This window comes from Homo sapiens, chromosome 12 (assembly GCF_000001405.40).
Source record: "Homo sapiens chromosome 12, GRCh38.p14 Primary Assembly".
Taxonomy (NCBI): domain Eukaryota; kingdom Metazoa; phylum Chordata; class Mammalia; order Primates; family Hominidae; genus Homo; species Homo sapiens.
Genome location: NC_000012.12, coordinates 21,048,426 through 21,068,580, shown reverse-complemented (window position 1 = coordinate 21,068,580; position 20,155 = coordinate 21,048,426). Strand labels below are relative to the sequence as shown.

The following is a 20,155-nucleotide window of genomic DNA, read 5'->3' as shown; positions in this document are numbered from 1 at the left end:
TCTACCATTTGATCCAGCAATCCCATACTAGGTATATAGCCAGAGAAAAAGAAGTAATTATATGAAAAAGATACTTGCACATGCATGTTTATAGTAGCACAATTTGCAATTGCAAAAATATGGAGCCAGCCCAAATGCCCATCAATCAATAAGTGGTTAAAGGAAATGTGGTCTGTGTATATCATGGAACACTACCCAGCCATAAAAATGAATGAAATAATGGTATTCACAGCAACCTGGATGGAATTGGACACTACTACGCTAAGAGAAGTAACTCAGGAATGGAAAACCAAACACCACAGGTTCACACTCATAATTGGGAGATATGAGGATGTAAAGGCATAAGAATGATACAGTAGACTTAGGGGACTCGGGAAAGGGTGGGAGGTGGGTAACAGATAAATGACTACACATTGGGTACGGTGCACGCTGTTTGGTTGATGGGTGCACCAAAATCTCAGAAATCACTACTGAGAATTTATTCATGTAACCAAACATCACCTATTTCCCAAAAACCTACTGAAATAACAAAAAATAAATTTAAAAACAATTTAAAAAGGCCTTTAGCCTCTGGAGTCTATAATCTTACTCTTCACCAATAATAAACCACAATTTTCTGATCTTTCTTTTATTCAGTACACGCTCTTAATCTAAGATGTCCAGTTCTAGAGTCTGAATTCTCATTCCCTTTTGCATTAACTTCTGCTAGTGGTTAGTTGGTCAGCCTTACAGGACCAGGTAGTGAGAAGTGGCCCAGTTACATGTTATCTCCTGTTGTTTTATACAACTTCAGCCTGACCAGATTCCTAGGGCTCCTAAGCTAATTGAGGCCTGTCCTAAATAATGCCTCCATTTAGAAGGAAGACTCTCCACTCTGCCTATACCTGGAAGAAATATTCTTATTTTTCTGAAAGAAGGAAAATTTCAAATACTACCTATCTTTCTGTTAGAAAAAGTATAATATAAATATGATGATTCCTTGCTCTTAACAGATTGGCTTTAACAAGAATTAACAATCAAATTCTCTGCTAGGCCACTCAAGTTTTCCTCTTATTATTTTCATTTATCACAACAATGGAAATGATTCTTACTTATTCCTTTTTTATACATTCTCATAGTTGAAAATTAATTACATTGTCTTTAAGCCTTAACATGAATATTTACATGTTAAATTTCTAATCTGTATATTTATCATACCTAGCGATCGCATAATCATTGAATGGAAGCCGATTGCAAGTGCTTTCAATTCAGGTTGAACAATCCTGTAATATGATTAAAGCAAAGAAACAATACACATCATTAAAATATCAAACTGAGTTAATATCAAAACATTTATCAGTATCATTTTTCTTCATGATTGAATGAGAACCCTTAAGTGAATGGCCCACATTAAATATAGTTATATTTTCAATTGTTTTAAAAGGCAAACACCTGGATGGTAGTAATAATTATTTTTATTTCTTATTTATTCTATGCTTTATGATTTCAGGACAGTTTAACAAATATTTTCATATTTGATCCTTATGAAAATCCTATAAAAAGGTGATGAACAGACTTGCCACGTTTATGAAGAAAATGATTTTGTGTGGACTATTTAGGTAGCTCATATGAAAATATTATATACCATTATCCAAAAGTAATTCTTAGCAGTCCTCTTTTTTCCATCTTATTTCTGTCATCAGTGTTAACACGGTAGTTTACTAATATGATTCATAAATTATATAATACAACCAGAAGGGTCAAAAAACTTTTCTGTATTCTAGTGTCTTGTGTATTTAACTGTCATACTGAAGGTAAGACTATACTTGTATCCTCACTTAGAAACTAACTCACTCTTACATTTCCCCAATTCCATTTTTCTGTGTTCAATAAACTGATTACACTACCAACCCTGTGATAACTTAGTATATATCAAGTGAAATAAAATTATTTTGCATTAGTGGAGGGGGTGGATTGGGATAAGGGAGGATGACTGCGGCTCAAAAAACCCAGTTTTACTGAAAGAGTAAATTAACTGATGAAAAAGTTGTTTTTTTCTTGAACTCTTGGATGGTTATTCTTTCAGAGAGCTATGTAGCTGTCATCAATCAACAAACATTCACTGAGCACCTAATAAGAGATACTATGCTAGTTAATATTCTTGGGAGTAAATAGACAAATTATGCTTCTTCTCATCTAAGTGACTTGGAGAAGTATATCACTTAATTTCTCTTAGCCTTAGTTTCCTTGTTGGTTAAGTGAGGATAATAATGCTTATCTCATGTTATAAGAATCCAATAAAATGAGCTAGCACTCTAAACTTCAATTTAATTTACACATAATCACCTGTATACTTTACAAAACAGCTACCATTTATTGAGATTCTGAAAAGAATTCAACAGAATTTATAAACTTTTAAAAGGCAAAAGTTAAATTAAACATAATATATTAAAAGCTAAACATAAGATAGTTATATATTAGGAGAGACAATAAATGGAAAGTGTGTTTTGGCTCTCCTTTCACCAAGTACAGCAGTACTTTGTTAGCCCAGTTGAGGGCACAACAACCACACTGAGGACAATGAATCCATGTCTGCTATATAAGGAGGAAATTTATTTCATAAAGAGATGGTCAGGAGAAAATCACCAGGAAGGGTAGGTTAGCTTTTCTATGGAGATGTTACTCTCAAATATCAGATTTCTCAAAGGAGATTTGGGGAAGGGAGAGATTGCACTTCACCCCTGGTTGAGTTCTCTGACAATTGCCTGACAGGCATTTTTCACTGTAATTCGTTTTCGAAAGTTGCAGTTTGTATACTATACGCACAAGGCAAACTGACATTTGTTATCAACTTGTATTTTACCAGGGAAAGGGTTAGCATGCAGGAGAATTGGGGGACTTGCAGATAGGGTAAATATTTTCCTAAGAGTGGGCCTGAAATCTTCAATTCAGTGGAAATGATGGATGTGTGTGATATAGTAACATACACATACAATAACAATCATACACACTCACTCCTACATTTACATGCATGCACATTCACACTACTCCTTGCATGCTCACACTCACATGCTCACTTGCATGCACACACACACTGTTATCATGAAAGACATTTTTCACTGTAGATTGATGCTTTGTTTGTCATCAGCTTACATCATGCCTCACACCGTTGTCACCAGCAGAATGCCAAGATTTTTAGATCTTCTCTGGGTACAAAGACTCTCATTCTACATGGTTTAATACACATTCCTTAATCCAACTCACTCTCCTACTCTTTTCCCATCACTCAAACCCTGTTATTTTGCCCATGGAAACTCTTGTTTCTTACCAGCAAAATGTTTACTTTTTTTTTTTCCAGATGGATTCTCATTCTGTGGCCCAGGCTGGAGTGCAGTGCTGTGACCTCAGCTCACTGCAACCTCCGCCTCCTGGGTTCAAGCAATTCTCCTGCCTCAGCCTCCCCAGTAGCTGGGATTACAGGTGCCCACCACCACGACTAGCTAATTTGTTTGTATTTTTAGTAGAGATGGGGCTTCACCATGTTGGCCAGGCTGGTTTTGAACTCCTGACCTCAAGTGATCCGCTTGCCTCGGCTTCCCAAAGTGTTAGAATTATAGGCATGAGCCACCGTGCCTGGCCAACTTCCTACATTCTTTTTAGCTCTTTTACTTTCTTGTTCTAAATGAAATCTAACTCCCATTAACACTCTTTCCTTGCAACTCTATCAAGTTTTCCTTCCACCGCCTCCATATCAGTGGGCCTGAAATGTGGAAGTCCTTATTGATCTTTTGTTTTTACCACTTCCATACCTGAGTCTCTCCTCTGAAAGACCTCTAGATCCCAGTAAGAGGTGCACCACACTAATATACTATTCTCTAACCTCCTTGTTGAAGTTAGCTGTAGACTGGCACACCACAACTCTTATCATTTCTTGACAATTTTCATTCTAGGCTCTCTGTCGTTTTTGTCAAAATGATTTCTGCCCCTTTTCTTAGTTATTTTAATATTCATATAGATTATGCTCCCAATGCTCTGCCCTTCCAGTTTCTTGGCCTTTTCTCTGGAAAGTCGTATTTCTTTCACCCACAATCAGTTCATCAGTACCCACTTTTAAAATTCTCTATTTTGAGCATCCCACTCCTCATGACCACATCTCAAATTTTAAAATTACTCCGTTTCATACGTCTGCTGCAATATACCCCAGCCCTAGCTCTTTAGGCTTATGACTCCTCTGACCTCTTCACAGGCCATCCCTAGTTTCACCTCTTCATGTCCTATCTCATCATGATCTTTTGTTATAATCAATCCTTTGCATATATCTTGAACATTTTGTCTATCTCATCCTTTATTGTATTGGACAAGCAAAAATGCTTTTATCTAAACCTCTGCCTTCTCTACACCTATGTAGTGTGCTGCACGGCTGGAGGAAATAATTCAACCATGCTGGTTGGGCTCACTTTAAATTCATAAGCCAAAATATTCAGGGGACCTCCAGTGCAATTGTCCAATATTTTACTAGTCCATTTTGCCAGTCAGTATATTTCTCCAATCTTCAAGATTACTAGGTAACTTTTTCTGATATGAACACTCTTTCTTTTCTTTATCGTCCTTCTCATCTGATTACATTGCTTTTTTATAACAGAGAAAGTAGAAGCAATTAGATAAAAAAAGTTTAATACTCTTTATCACTACAGGTACACATTTACCGGCTTTTTACCCACATAGACAATTTTCCCTTCTACAGAGAAAAACTCTGTGTCCTTGTTAACATCTCTTTTCATCTTCCTCTGTAATTACTTTCCCTCTCTCCTGCATTATCAGTTTCCTTCATCTGTACTGCTAATTCTCATTAGTATGCAAGCATGGTATGATTTCTAGCATTGAACATAAACAGAACTCTTGATGACACAATCATGCTAACTACCACATCTTTTCTCTGCTTCTTCTTCTAACACTTCTCCTGAAAAGAACTTTCCATACTGACTGCTACACTTTCCTTTCTAGCATTTTTTCTTGATCCTCTTCAATACAGCCTTTCAGATTCTATGCAGCACACATTACAGTCACAGTTTCAAAGGGAGAAAAATCCTGTTAAAACAAAATAAATTCAAAATAAGGAGAGATAGCTTATCCAAATGAGGAAGAACCAGATAAACAATTCTGGAAGTATAAAGAAGAAAGAGTGTTACAACATCTCCAAAGGACCACACTAACCTCCAGCGGTGGATTCTAAACACAATAAAATCTTTTATATAGTCAATGAAGAACGCACACCTGTAGTCTCAGCTACTCAGGAGGCTGAGGCAGGAGAATCGCTTGAAGCCAGGAGGTGGAGGTTGCAGTGAGCCGAGATTGCGCCACTGCACTCCAGCCTGGTGACAGAGTGAGACTCCAACTCAAAAAAAAAAAAAAAAAATCCAAAATATTGATTCTAAAGAATTCTAAAGAAGCCTCCCAGAAATAAGGCCTTTAAGAAATACAGGATTATTTAAGGTTGAGATCCAAAGTTGAAAGCCATCACAAATACATGAGAAAAATGATGTAGCATATAAAAGAAAATATAGATTTTATTGAGAAAAACAGACATGACTTCTGAAAATGAAAAATATTTTGGTGGAATTGCAAAATGGTTTTGAAAGCTTTAACAATGGGCTGAACAAGCAGCATAAACCATTTAAGAGCTGGAAAACAGGTCTTTTAAGTAAACCCAGTAAGACAAATATAGAAAATTAAATTGCGAAACTTAACGATGCCTTCAAGCACTTTGTTATCATGTAAAGGTTATCATGTAAAGCATCCAAACTTATGAATTATAGGTATTCCAGTGGGGGAAGAAGAGAAAGTAAAAAGTGTGGGTAACTTGTTTGAATAAGTAACTCAGGAAAACTTCCCGGGTCTTGCTGCAGACCTAGACATCCAGATATAAAAATCTGAGATGATTCCTGGGATATGTATTTCAAGAATAACCTAAGAAAAACATATAGTACTCAGACTATCCAAAGTCAACATAAAAGAGGCAAGAGAGAAGTGTCTAAAAAGAAATCTCATCAAACTCATACCAGAGTTTGCAGGAACCTTGTAAGCAGGAACCTTAACAAGCCAAAAGAAACTGGGGTCCTATTTTGAGTCTTCTTACAAAATAAGGCCAGACAAGAATTTTTTTTATCCCCCTTAACTAAGATTCATAATTCAAAGAGAAATAAGGTATTTCCTAGATAATAAGCAAACACTAAACATATTTGTCACAGACTGGCATTACAAGAAATACTCAAAGGTGTTCTAAACACAGAAATGAAAGAGCAATACTAATCATTATGGAAACACACAAAAGCATAAAACACACAGATCTTATAAAGAAATTACCCAATTGATGCCCCAAAGCAATTAAGAACTAATTAACAATATTATGGAAACAAAACCTCAAAAATCAATACTGACCTTAAATGTAAACAGACTAAATCCTCCACTTAAAAAATATAGGCTGGCAGAATGTTTAAAAAAAAGATACAACTTTATGCTACTTACAAGAAACCCACCTAACTGAACTAACTGGTATAGACACTTTCAGCGTCAAAGTAAAGGGGTGCAAAAAGATATCCCATGATAACATAAACCAACTATAGCTATACTTGTGTTAGATCAAACTTCCAATCAAAAACAGTCAAAAAATGAAAAAGGTTATTATATTTTATAAAGGCTCAATTCAACAAGAAGATATAACAATTCTAAAAGTATGCATCGAACATTGTAGCACTCAGATTCATAAAACAAATACTACTTGACTGAAGAAAAGAGAGAAATGCCAATACAACATTAGTAGGGTCCATAAATAACCCACTGACAGCAACAGGAAGATCATGGAGGCTAAAAATCAACAAAGAAAGCTGGTAAGTTGAACACTAGACCGAATGAACCTAACAAATATTTGCAGAACATCTTATATTACTACCACAGAATATAGATTCTTCACAGCTGCATGTGAAACATGCTAAAAAATTGACCATATGCCATGCCACAGGCAAGAGTGAATACATTTTTTTAAAAATCAAAGTTACATCAAGTACCTTTTCAGAACACAGTGAAATAAAAATAGAAATTAGCACATAGAGGAATTCTCAACACTATACAAATACATGGAAATTAAATAACTTGTTCCTGAACAATTATTGGGTCAATGATGAAATCAAGGCAGAATTATTTTTAAAAATCAAAATGAATGAAAATAAAGACAGCATGTCAAAACCTCTGAGATGCAGCAAATCAGCGCTAAAAGGGAAGTTTGTAGCATTAAATGGCTAATATTATGCCCTATGGAACTAGAAAGTCAAGAACAACCCATACCCTAAACTGGCAGAATAAAGTAATAACAAAGAACAAAATTAAATGAAATGTGGGCAAAAAAGTTTACAAAGGATCAGTGAAAAAAAAAGTTGGTTATCTGAAAATATAAACAAGATTGCTAGACTGCTAGTAGGTTAACCATTAAAAGGAAGAAGATTCAAATAAGCACAATCAGAAATGATAAAGGTGACATTAAAACTATTACCACAGAAATACAAAAGATCACCAGAGACTGCTATGTACCTCTCTGCATACACAAACTAGAAAACCTAGAGAAAATTGATAAATTCCTGGAAACATACAACCTCCCGAATTTGAACCAAGAAAAAATAGAAATACTGAACAAATAATGAGTAATGAAATTGAATCAGTAATAAAAAAGAAATCTCCTAACAACTATAAAAAGTGCAAGAACAGTTGGCATCACAGCCAAATTCTACCAAAGAAACAAGGAAGAAATGATACCAATTCTACCAAAACTGTTCCAAAAAATCAGGAAGGAAGGAATCCTCCCTAACTCATTCTATGAAGTCAGCATCACCCTGACACCAAAACTAGGCAAGTAAACAATAAATAAAAAAAACTACAGATCAATATTCCTGATGAACATAGATCAAAATATCCTCAACAAAACAGTAGAAAATTAAAAGCACATCAAAAAATTAGTAGCGCATCAAAAGGTTCATCACAAGGATGAAGTGGTCTTTATTCCTGAAATGCAAAGATGGTTCAACATATGCAAATCAATATATGTGATTCATCAAATTAACATAATTAAAACCAAAAAGCATACAAAATCAACTGATACAAAAAAAGCACTTCATAAAATCAAGCATTCCTTTATGATAAAAACCATTACTAAACTAGGCATAGAAGAAATATACCTCAAAATAATGAAAGCCATAAAATGCAAAGCACAGCCAACAACATACTGAGGGAGGGAAAATTGTAAGCATTACTTCTAAGAATGAGAACAAAGTGAGGATGCCTACTTTCAGCACTCCTGTTCAACATAGTATTGGAAGTTCTATCTAGAGCAATCAGATGAAAAAAAGGAATAAAAGGTATCCAAATTGTAAAACAAGTGTTCAAATTATTTCTGTTTATTTATGATATAATCTTATACCTAGAAAATCCTAAAGACTCCTCTGAAAGTCTCCTAGACTTGATAAACTACTCCAGTAAAGTTTCAGGATATAAAACCAATGTTCAAAAACCAGTATAATTTCCATACACCAATAATGATCTAGCTGAGAACCAAATCAACAAATGAATCCCAATACAGTTATCTATCTGATAGATAACTGATAGATAATATAGTTGTCTATAACAAGATTTTTTTACTGATATATATAATAGATAAAAAATAAAATAAATAGGAATACATTTAACCTAAGAGGTAAAAAATCTCTACAAAAAGAACTGATGAAAAAGTCATATATGACAAAATTGAATGGAAAAACTTCCCACACTCATAAATTGAAATAATTAATATTATGTAAAATGACCATCCTGCCCAAAGCAACCTATATTCAATGCAATTTCCATTAAATTATCAATATCATTTTTTATAGAATTAGAAAAAAAAATCCTAAAATTCATATGGAACCAAAAAAGATCCCGAAGAGCAAATTCATCCTAAGCAAAAAATAAGCTGAAGTTATTACCTTACCTGACTTTATATTATACTTCAAGTCTATAAGCCAGTATAAATAGTAATAGCATAAAAATAAATGCATAGATTAATGCAACAGACTACAGAAGCTAGAGATAAAACCACATACCTACAACATACTGATCTTTGACAAAGGCAAAAAAATATATACACTGAGGAAAGGACACCCTATTCAATAAATGGTACTGGGAAAATTGGAGAGTCATATATGCAGACATAAAATTGAATCTCTATCTCTCACCATATATAAAAATTAACTCAAAATTGATTAAAGACTTAAATGTAGGGCCTGAAACTATAAAAAATCTTAGGGGAAAAACTCTCCTGGATGTTGGTCTAGGCAAAGGATTTATGATTACGTCCTCAAAAGGAAATACAACAGCAACAACAAATATACACCAATGGAACTTAATTAAACTTAAAAACTTCTGCTAAGTAAAAGAAATAATCAACAGAGGACACAGACAACCCACCGAATGGGAGAAAATATTTGTAAACAATGGCTCTGATAAAGTGCTAATATCCATAATATATGAGGAACTCAACTCAATGAAAAAAAAAGAAAGAACCTCATTAAAAAGTGGGCAAAGGACATGAACAGACATTTTTCAAAGGAAGACATACAAGTGTTCAATAAACATATAAAAAATCCCCAACATCACTAATCATCAGAGATATTAAAATTAAAATCATAGTATCATCTTATATCCTTATGATAGCTATTATTACAAAGTCAAAAAAACAAGAGATGTTGGTGAAGATGAGGAGAAAAGAGAATGCTTATACACCGTTGGTGGGAATGTAAATTAGTACAACCTCTATGGAAAACAGTATAGAGATTTACTGTTTTCTAAAAATTGAACTACCATTCAATCCAGTAATCCCAGTACTGGATGTCTACCTAAAGAAAAAGAAATGATTTTATTAAAAAGACAATCTGTGGCTGGGTGAAGTGGCTCACGCCTGCAATCCCAGCACTTCAGGAGGCCAAGGCAGGCAGATCACCTGCAGTTAAGAGTTTGAGACCAGTTTGGCTGACATGGTGAAACCCCATCTCCACTAAAAAAATAACATAACATAACATAACGTAACGTAACGTAACGTAACGTAACGTAACGTAACGTAACGTAACATAACATAACATAACATAACATAACATTACAAAAAAAAATCAGCCAGGTATGGTGGTGGGTGACTGAAATCCCAGCTACTCAGAAGGCTGAGGCAGGAGAATTGCTTGAACCTGGGAGGCGGAGGTTGCAGTGAGACAAGATCCTGCCACTGCACTCCAGTCTTGGCAAAAAAAGTGAGACTCTGTCTCAAAACAAAAACAAACAAACAAGCAAAAAATACCTGCACTTCTATGCTTATCACAGCTCTAATGACAAAAGCAAAGTCGTAGAATTAATCTAAATGTCCATTAACTGATAGTTAGATTAAGAATTTGATATATATGTATATACCATGGAATACTAGTCAGCCATAAAAAAATGAAGTCAAGTCATTTGCAGCATTTTGGGTAGCACTGCAGGCCATTATCCTTAGTGAAATGAGGCAGAAACAGAAAGTTAAAAAATGCATGTACTCACTTTGATGTGAGAGCTAAATAGTGAGTACACAAGGACATACAGAGTGAAATAATAGACAATTAGAGACTAAAGTGTGGGAGGTTGGGAGAGGGTGGCAGGGATGGGATGGGATGGGAGGGTGGGAGGGATGAAATACTATCTATCGGATACAATGTACACTATTCGGATGATGAGAACACAAAACCCCATACTTCACTGCACAATATATCCATGTTTCACAACTGCACTTGTACCCCTAAATCCATAAAAATGAAACACTTTTTAATAACCAAAACAGCCTTATTTTTCCCTTCCTTCTTCATGCACCAGTTTTGTTTGGGCTAACAGTGATCAGCATATAATGAAATCCAATGGTCACTTTCTAGTCCCTAACTCCTGTGAACTCTCAGCGGCCCTTGACATAGTTGCTTTACTCACTACTTCATATATTCTTCATTATGCTTCAAGAACATGATCTTTTCTCAGTTTTTCTCATAACTCATGGGACTTCCTCAATTTCCTTCACTGGCTTCTTCTATTATTGATCTCTAAAGTTAGAGTGCTAGGTGTTGGTCCTAGGATCTAGTTTCTATCTATACTGAGTCCCTAGAATATCTCAACAGTACGTTGAATTTAAATAGCATCTGTATGTTGCTAACTCTAAAATTTATGTTTCTAACTTTAGTGTTTCTCCTGAATAGTGGATTCTGCATATGACATTGTTGGTAGATATCTAACAGGCAGCTCAGTTTTAGAGACACAAGAAGTCTTACTTGTCCACTTTCCCAAAACTACTCTTCCTTAGTCTTTCCCATATTGTTCGATAGTACTATCATTTTTCTAGAACTCAGACCAGAACTTTCAGATCATCCTTAAATTCTCTCTCTCACCTGCTGTATTCAGTTGAGCAGCAAATCATATTGGCTTTGCCTTAAAAACAAAACAAAGACTGAGACTCAAGTCGCTTCCCACTTCCTTTATCATAACCATGCTCAATCAAGACTCCATCTTGTGAAGAATGATCATAGCCTTATGTTTTCCATGATTTCATTCTTGTCTTCCAAAAACACACTCCATCTCCATGCACAGTTAGAGTGTTCTTTTCGTTAGGTAAGCCATAAGCTTTAGGTAATACTAACGCTTAAACCCTCTAGGGCATCTGAACGCATTTAGAATAAGTTCCAAAGACTTTCCCGGAACAATATAATCTGGATCATGCTAGCTCTGTCATTGTACTTCATACCTCTCTGTTCCTCACACACTTTTTTCTGACCATGTATATGTTAAGTATGTTCCACACCAGGGCCTTTACCTTTGCTCTACCTTGCCTCGATTGTTCCTTCCCTGTCCCCATTTAGCATGGCTTGTAGTTTCACTCTTCATCTCTTCATTTAGGTCTCTTATCATATGATTTCCAGTGCACAATGTCTGAACTAGTGTCTCTTACCTATCCCTACTTTTTCTATTTTCTTACTCAGATTCTTCTTTCTAGTGTTGCACACTTACCCTATTTTACATATTTACTTACTTATTTGTTTATTAGTTCTTCTCCTATGCCAATCCACCCCCCATTTCCCATCCCCACTGGATGCCAATGAAGTTTTATCACTTTCATTCACATCTGCATCTTCATTGTGTGGACCTGTGGCTGACACACATAATGAATATGTACTGGATGAGTAAATGCCTACACTCCTGCTTAGTCTAGTTTTAGCAATAGCCTTATGATATAAACTTTAGAAAATCATGAATAGAATGAAGTTCATATTTTATATTTGTATTCTCTTGTCAGCTTCACAAAACTTTTCTTCAAAGAAAAAGGCTGGTGAGAGATTAATAAATGCTTTTGACAAGTGGTAATGTTGATTTCATAACTTTCTTAATTAGATAAATCATAACTATCATCAAGGATGAAACAGTATTTTTAAAACTCTCCTTATGAAAAAGTTTCAATTAAGAAGCTGAAACACGTTGAGATGTAAACTGGTATGATATTTTGAGGTGAATTTTTATGTTAATGAATCTGTAATTTAGCAAATATATGCTTCTCCCTCTGAGTAGACATTTTATATTGAAGATGAAGATATATTTGTGGAATATTTACTATAAATAATTTGATAAAACTTGCAGTCAGAGTCAAAATTTAACAACTGTAAATTTAGTTTACAGGTTTATTTTCATGTTAACAAAATTTAAAAACACATTTTTTTTTCTACCACGTCATGCTGTTGGCTGACCATGACTGTGATCAGGTAGTATGTTTTAAAAGTATAATTAGATGTTAACCCAGGTCATTCTACTTATCATGTATATTTTTAACATCTACTTGCCTGTCTTTACATGTTTACAGTTTTAGGTGATTGAATTATTATATTGGCCAGTAGGGCACACATTATCTGCTTCCTCCCTAATTTTCCAAACTTCTCTTATACCACACCCCTCTCACTCAGTATGTTCCAATGAACTGGATTCTTTTTGGTCTTCAAACACACCAGCGCTTTCCTGTCTTAAGGAAGCAGCACTTAGACCCTCTCCCTGAAAGCCCTTCATTTGGCTTTTTCTGTATGCCCTTAGATAAAATATCACTTCTTTTAAGATGCACTTTGTAAGTCCTTTCCCTCATATACCCTCATTTCACTCCCAAATTTCGTTTCTCTTTTTATTCCCTTTATTAGCAGTCTTTTTCCTTATTAAGACTAACAGCAATTTGTAATTATGTGTTCATTTTTAAACTTATTTGTCTCACGTCACTCGTCGTTTTTCAAAGCTATGAGACAACAAGTACCTTATTGGTTTTATTTACCAAGAAATATTCTTCATTAAGCATCACATGCTGTCTAAATATCTGTTTAATGAGTGAAGAAAGGAATGAATTCTTTACATATACTTTTCTTCTGTCTACAATGGTATTAAGGGATACTAGGTCAGAAGCCATGCTGTGGGTGAATTTACAGCATTAGAATTTCATTACACACTGAAGTTTATATTTATATCTTGTTGCAAAACGTTTTCTTTCAATGAAATCAACAGATGATTTTCTCTAACTGGCCCATTAGGATCCAAGGCAACTGAAAATTAAAAGTTCTTTTTGAATCATATAGAGATTCTTTTACAATTGAGGCAATTGTCAATCAGTGTGTGTCTTAAGATTCTTAATAAAAGAAGAATATATAGAGCCTAGATTTCACAATGGAAGTATTAGAGACAAAATTATATTATTAATGATAGCATTGAAATATCATAATAATTCTAAGAAAATGAATTCCCAGAAAATTAAAATGTAACAAAATATGAATTTGAGCTAAATACGGAAAATATGTATATCATTGGGTGTGTTTTTAGTTTAATATACATGATAATGTTTTAAAACATCATACTTACCTAATCACCAGCACGGAATATGAGGTAAGTCCAACTGCACAGAGGAAAGCATCTAAGACTTGAATTACAAAATAAACGTAAGATTTCCTTGTACAAGCATCATCTCTTGGGCATTCACCCAAGTGCGCTGAGTAATTTTTGTTCTGGAGACCAATTACTTCCACACAGCTACAGTTATAAAACACCTAAAAATAATTTTTGAAATATTACCAAATACATTTGCCACATGCAACTGGGCTATGAATACATTCCATTATATTTAAAGAAGTCTCAAACTAAAATATTTACAGTTTTAAAAATATTATGAAAATACAGTTGCTTAATAATGAAAGGCAAAATTGCTTCCTGAATTACTTTCTGTATAAGATAATGTTATTGAATATTAACATTTAATAAATTCTTAATTTTAAAATTGGGAAATAATTTAAGAAATTAGTGTATGAAAGTGTATATAATTTTCTCATTAATATAAATTGTTTTCAATATTGCTCTTTCACCCACACTTACTTCCTAAAATATGCATTTTTACTCACTTTGACAATCTCTACTAAGTATTAGGGACATGCCCTGGGGAAGGATTACCCCAAATCTTCAGAAAATACAGCAGTTTGAAAGGGGCCAAAATCTGGAACTAGAGCCACTCTTGAAAATAGGACAGAGTACAGAAGAAATAGAGATGGGCATGGATGCCAGAATTCTATTTAAGCAGGCGAAAGCAGCATTCAAGACCATAATGACAGATAATAACATAGATAATATTATTACCAGAGAGGTCCAACACAACAGAATGTCCTGACTAATGGTAAGAGCACAGAAGGCGAACATTAGGATCAAATGATTTGAGAGATTTAATCAGGCAGTGTTTGTAGGTAGGTGGCTTTAAAAAAAATCTATTCTGATTCTAGGCTAAACAAAAGTTTAAGGGAAGTTTGCCTTTAACCTACTAGTGCTAAAGACTAATTATTGAAGGAAGAATTTTAAAAGAATTTAAATCTATACTTTTATGGTTCCACCAAGCTTCCTTTAATCCTCCTTTTTTCACTAAGAATAATATGGAACAATCTTTTATGGAGAAAGCACACTGGCCAATAAAACCAAACTTTGATACAGAGAACATTATTTTAAAAAGAGATTTCTTTTTTACTGAGGATTTAGTAAAGGAATTTTGCAGTAGCCCCCAGATGGTATAGCCATTGTTCACATTAAGAAGACGTCTCCATGTAGACAGAGCTCTTTTTAGGATTCTAATATTACGTTTCTTTCAGATCTTCACTACTGGGCAAAGTGAAACCAGGGATTAAATGAGGGCACCCTTACTGAAGGATATTATAGCAGATGAATATGAGATGTGGGCTTTTAAGTATAGTCTGTGGGCCATATATGTTGTGCAAGTTTATTAAAGTTATGGCCTATCTTCAAGGAACCTAGGATGCTTTGTTCATCAAATTTCTCCATGCCTTTCCATAATATATCGGTATGACAATGGGCAAGGGAAAGATGAAAAATGTTTAAAAATGAAACATAGAAGAGTGTGGTAGAGAGTAATCATCATAGCTGACTATGTTGCTAATGTTGGTAATAGGAAAATGGTCTGAAAGATGAATACACAACTTTGCGAGATGTTGAGTGAATGGTAGGTATGGGGAATAGCATACCCAGTTTCCAACTATTGGGAGTTACCCAGGATATTAGGAAAAACCCATGGCTCACATGGAAAAAAACCCATTTGAGTGAAGAAAACAATGGAATTTCAAATGGATATGTTGGGAGTAAGTGGGCAGGATACTAAATTATCCTGGGTAAGAGAAGCGCCATCTGTGAGGAAATCAACATAGGAAATTGAGAATTTGGCAGTCAAGTGAGCATGAATCCTTGATTAATTTATTGGAAAGTCAAAAGCCCCAGTGAGTCCCTAGCTAAACTCATCAGGAGGTATATATATGAAAATGCACATAGATTGTTGTCCTAGTAAAGTAGGTAGTTCTGACAACAGGTTAATCAGGACTTTCTCCTAACTTCTGATGGATAAATTAATTCCAAATTAATTGAAATCTTGTGCTTCAGTCAAATCAGATGCTTCTCAGAAATCCTAAGTGGATTAAATTCTAATAGGTCATATTTCTACACTCTCAAGAAAAAAGTGGGGTAATCTCAAATTAAAATTCAAATAACAGAAAAACTTGGTTGTGTCCTAAGCAGGACTTTATATGAAGCTTTGTTTATACTTCACAGCCATCACAATGACAGATAATACCGGAATCTTTTATCTTTATACTGGATACCTTAGCTATAGGAAGATGTGATAAACAATTATTAAAAAATCAAATCTGAGATTTTGATTAAGGAGAGAAGGAAAAACAAAAACAAATACTCACTATGGGCTCTTTATTACCACTTGAAGATTTGCATCCTGCTAGACAAGGTGACAGGTAAGTTATTCCATTGTTTCCACAGACGGGTTCCCATTGACTTTCATCACAATTGCACTCTGAGTTGCAATAAGAAAGTGGTACATCTACATGAGATCTTACTGGACTATTTCTGAAAATATATGATAGACATATATCAAAAAGAGAGAAAGAGAAGAGAGAGGAAGAAAAGAAGGAAGAGGAGGAGAGAGACAAGGGGGAAGTAGAAGGGAAATAAAGGAGGAGGGAAGGTGAGGGAAAGAAAAGAGAAATGAAATAAAGGATTTTCTTCAATTAGATCAAGAAATTTGATCTGATGATGCCAAAATAGGTTTTTAAAAATGCTTTTAAATTTTTTAATGCTTGTAACTCTCCTTCTTTACCAAAACATGATTTGTTACTTAGAAAAAGTAAAACTTAAAAAAGAAATAAGAGATTAGATAAGACTTAGACAAGAGGTTGTTATGATTCCATCAAGAAGGTTCACATTAGAAAAGTAATTTTATTTTTCTAGACTCAGTTTTTTTTTTGGTGAGGTAATGGCGTTAGATTGAAGTTCCTCTCAGGTCACTATAAAGTTCTGTGAATCTATGGATGCTAGTTAATGTGGTTGAAGTTTAAAATCTGTATCTTAACTACATAAAATAAGAATTCATTGTGATTAGAGCTGAACCTCTGAAGAATGAAAAGCAAAAAATAATAGAATCAGTTGAAAAGGGCTAGAAAAGTTCTGTATATTTTTTAAGTGACAATACAATGTTTTTAAACTGATTTACTTTACAATATGGCTATAAATTGTTAAATATAATTTTAATCATGGCTAAAATTATAAAGCATATTATTTGTATACATTTTCTGCTTCAAGATTTTAAAAGCTACTTTGTTTTGCAAAAATTTGTTTATGATTGAGGATTGATGAAGTACCTTTGAATGAGTATGCATTTAAATTAAGAAAAAAGTAGATCGGTAATTTAGAAAACACATTATTAATAATTTTATTTAAAGTCATCTAATTATTCTGCTTGAGGACATCCTACTGGGAGTAGTTATGGAGAATGGTTTATGATTACTATGGTCTAAATATTTGTGCCCCCCCAAATTCATAGATTGAAATCTAATCTCCTATGTGAAGGTATTAAGAGATAGGGCTGTCAGGATGTGATCTGGTCATGAGGACGAACCCTCCTGAATGGAGTTAATGACCCCTTGCATATTCCACCATGACTAAACACAGCTAGAAGGCACAATCTATGAACTAGCAAGTGTGCCTTTACCAGATACCAAATCTCTCAGCACCTTGATCTTGTATGTTCCAGCCTCCAGAACTGTGAGAGATACATTTCTGTGTATCTACAAACTACACAATATTTTGTTACAGCAGCTCAAATGGACTAAGATAATGACCCAGTCCAGAAATTGCAATTAGTTCCTCCTGTGTTCGGATTAGTTCTGCCATAGCTTACCAATGTGACTACTCTTTGTAAAAAATGTCAACCTCATAGAGACTTTTGGGGAAAAATAATTCTGGGACAGTTTTCAAACATATTTTTTCTTAGGAGTCCTTCAGAGTCTTAAAAAGCATTGAAGGACCCAAGTTTTTTGTTTTAATTAGTTATATCTATAGACACTCTATTAGAAATTAATATTAATACATTTTAATACATAAGCACACATATTTTTAGCTGTAAGACTGGTGGCATCAACACATATCATATAATCTTAAAAATATCACTATACCTTCATGAGATAATGTGAATAAAAAAGGCAAAGTCTTTGTATCATTATAAAAATAGGTTAGAATTTGTGGACCCCTTGATAAAGTCTCAAGGACCCTTAGAGATAATCAGGGATAATTCGGAGACCCCTGCACTAATTTGACTTATAAAACAAGTCCTAGTGACTAAGATTTCATAAATGTTGAATACATTGATTTTATTATTTGCTATCATTAGATTACGAGTTCCATGAGGGAATTGATGTTTCCCACAAATAATCACCTTTCAGGAAGGACTCAGTAAATTTAATTAAATTGAACAACTCCTGTATAACTCTTGCTTCCATCTTTTCAGTAGATGGCACAGTTACTATACTTGTTTTCAGGAAACTAGCTTTATGCTAAAAAGCCTGCCCTGAAAAACAGGAAGCCTTTGAAACTAATGGTGTGATATAAGATCAAGAGGGAGTCGTTGTGTGTCTTTAAGCAAGTCATAATTCTGTAGGTCTCATATAATAAAGGAAGCGATATATGAAAGTTGGGCTGCATGATCTCTAAGGTTCTCTTATCTCTAAAATCCAATGTTCTAGGTACAATGTGTATTGACTTACCAAAGTAGGTGACAGTTGATAGGAAAGATCAAAAACAGTTTAGATTTAGAAGCATGCAGGAAAATAATTCATGATTAGTTTAACAAGCCTCCAAGAACAGGATGTTACTTAGATAAGAAAATGAGAATATTTGACAAATTAAAATCAACACCTCATAGAATCCAGATTTTGAAAGCTCCGAGCCAATAGTAACAGCACTAAAGATCATGGTTATTGAACTGTAATCTGAGCATCTTTGCCTGTTGCTTGACTGTGAACCTTCCTAAACTTACATTGTTGGCTATATTGAAGTGATTATTAAAAGTCTGTGTAAGAATCTTGCTCTCGATTTGGGGTAGAGACTGTAGTACTAAAAATACTTGACAAAACATGATAATAATGGAAAAGTAAAGATATCCCAAGGTCTAACATACAATTATAAGCAGAATATATCTTAATGCTATTTCCATTGTAGACTACCAGAAGAAAAAAATATTAGCTTGCAAAAAAGGAGAATTAAGTACAATGTGAAAAAGTATTATTTCATAAAGACAGTTGTTAATATCAAAAAGAACTGTAGATGAAGGTTATTCAGTCACTTTTGGAGAAGGTAATTTATATTACTATTATGATCCATCTAAAATGTTAATGGTTAAGACTAAGAGTTTTAGAGTCAAAACCCCAAAATTTGAGTCAGAATCTTAATATTGCTAGCCATATAATTTATCTATTTCTCTAAATTTTACTTTCTCATTTATAAAATGTGGGTAAAAGTACCCACCACTCATTATAATTACCCATAAATTATAGGTATTATTACTTCAACATATGTTGCTTTTCTTTAATGAAGGAATAAAATAACTTTAAGGTCTTAAGGAGTGAACATTTTAAGAATTTCAAAAATGAAATTTCTCTCAGTGAAAAGAAAATTTAATTACAATTGTTTTCTACCCTATTTTCCTTACACATAGTCTTTTGATTGGATGGTTAACATATTATCCAATTATATATACAAACCCATCATAGGTCAAGGTTAGGCCGGCAACTGATTTGCTTTCACAGATTAGAAAGAAATATAAAACTTGAGATAAGAGATGCACTGTTGCAGAACAAAATGCCAATTTGGCAAGTCCAACTAAAGACAATTTGAATTTTTTAATGATATATCCTCCTGAAAACATGCCAATTGCAACAGCAGGTAGGGCGAGGACTCCTAGAAATAAGAGAAAAAAGCTGTAAATATATACACACACACACACACACACACACACACACACACACACACATTTAAATATGTATATTTAAATATATATACACATTTAAATATATAAAAATATATATGCATATTTAAATATATATTTAAATAAATATATATATAAAAATATATATATATTTTTTTGGATATGTGTTTTTATATGAAACACAGTATGAGGCTGGGTGAACCAAATTCATCCCATCTTATCACTTCTTTAAAAGGAGGGTGGCAGACTAAGGTAGAG

At 34.0% G+C, this 20,155-nt stretch overlaps 2 protein-coding genes across 2 annotated transcripts in view; both read right to left on the bottom strand.

The window, feature by feature from the left end:
* Nucleotides 1-20,155, bottom strand: part of SLCO1B3-SLCO1B7 (SLCO1B3-SLCO1B7 readthrough) — a 275,549-nt gene that overhangs the window by 22,642 nt on the left and 232,752 nt on the right. Inside the window, exon 14 of the mRNA NM_001371097.1 lies at nucleotides 1,198-1,262. Coding sequence (NP_001358026.1) covers nucleotides 1,198-1,262 — 65 coding nt within the window. The remainder of the gene's footprint in view (nucleotides 1-1,197; nucleotides 1,263-20,155) is intronic.
* The window catches only part of LOC124902894 (putative solute carrier organic anion transporter family member 1B7), a 150,851-nt gene continuing 147,021 nt past the window's right edge, over nucleotides 16,326-20,155 (bottom strand). Inside the window, exons 9-10 of the mRNA XM_047429949.1 lie at nucleotides 19,674-19,869; nucleotides 16,326-16,432 (exon numbers count right to left, since the gene is read on the bottom strand). Coding sequence (XP_047285905.1) covers nucleotides 16,420-16,432; nucleotides 19,674-19,869 — 209 coding nt within the window. The 3' untranslated portion in view covers nucleotides 16,326-16,419. The remainder of the gene's footprint in view (nucleotides 16,433-19,673; nucleotides 19,870-20,155) is intronic.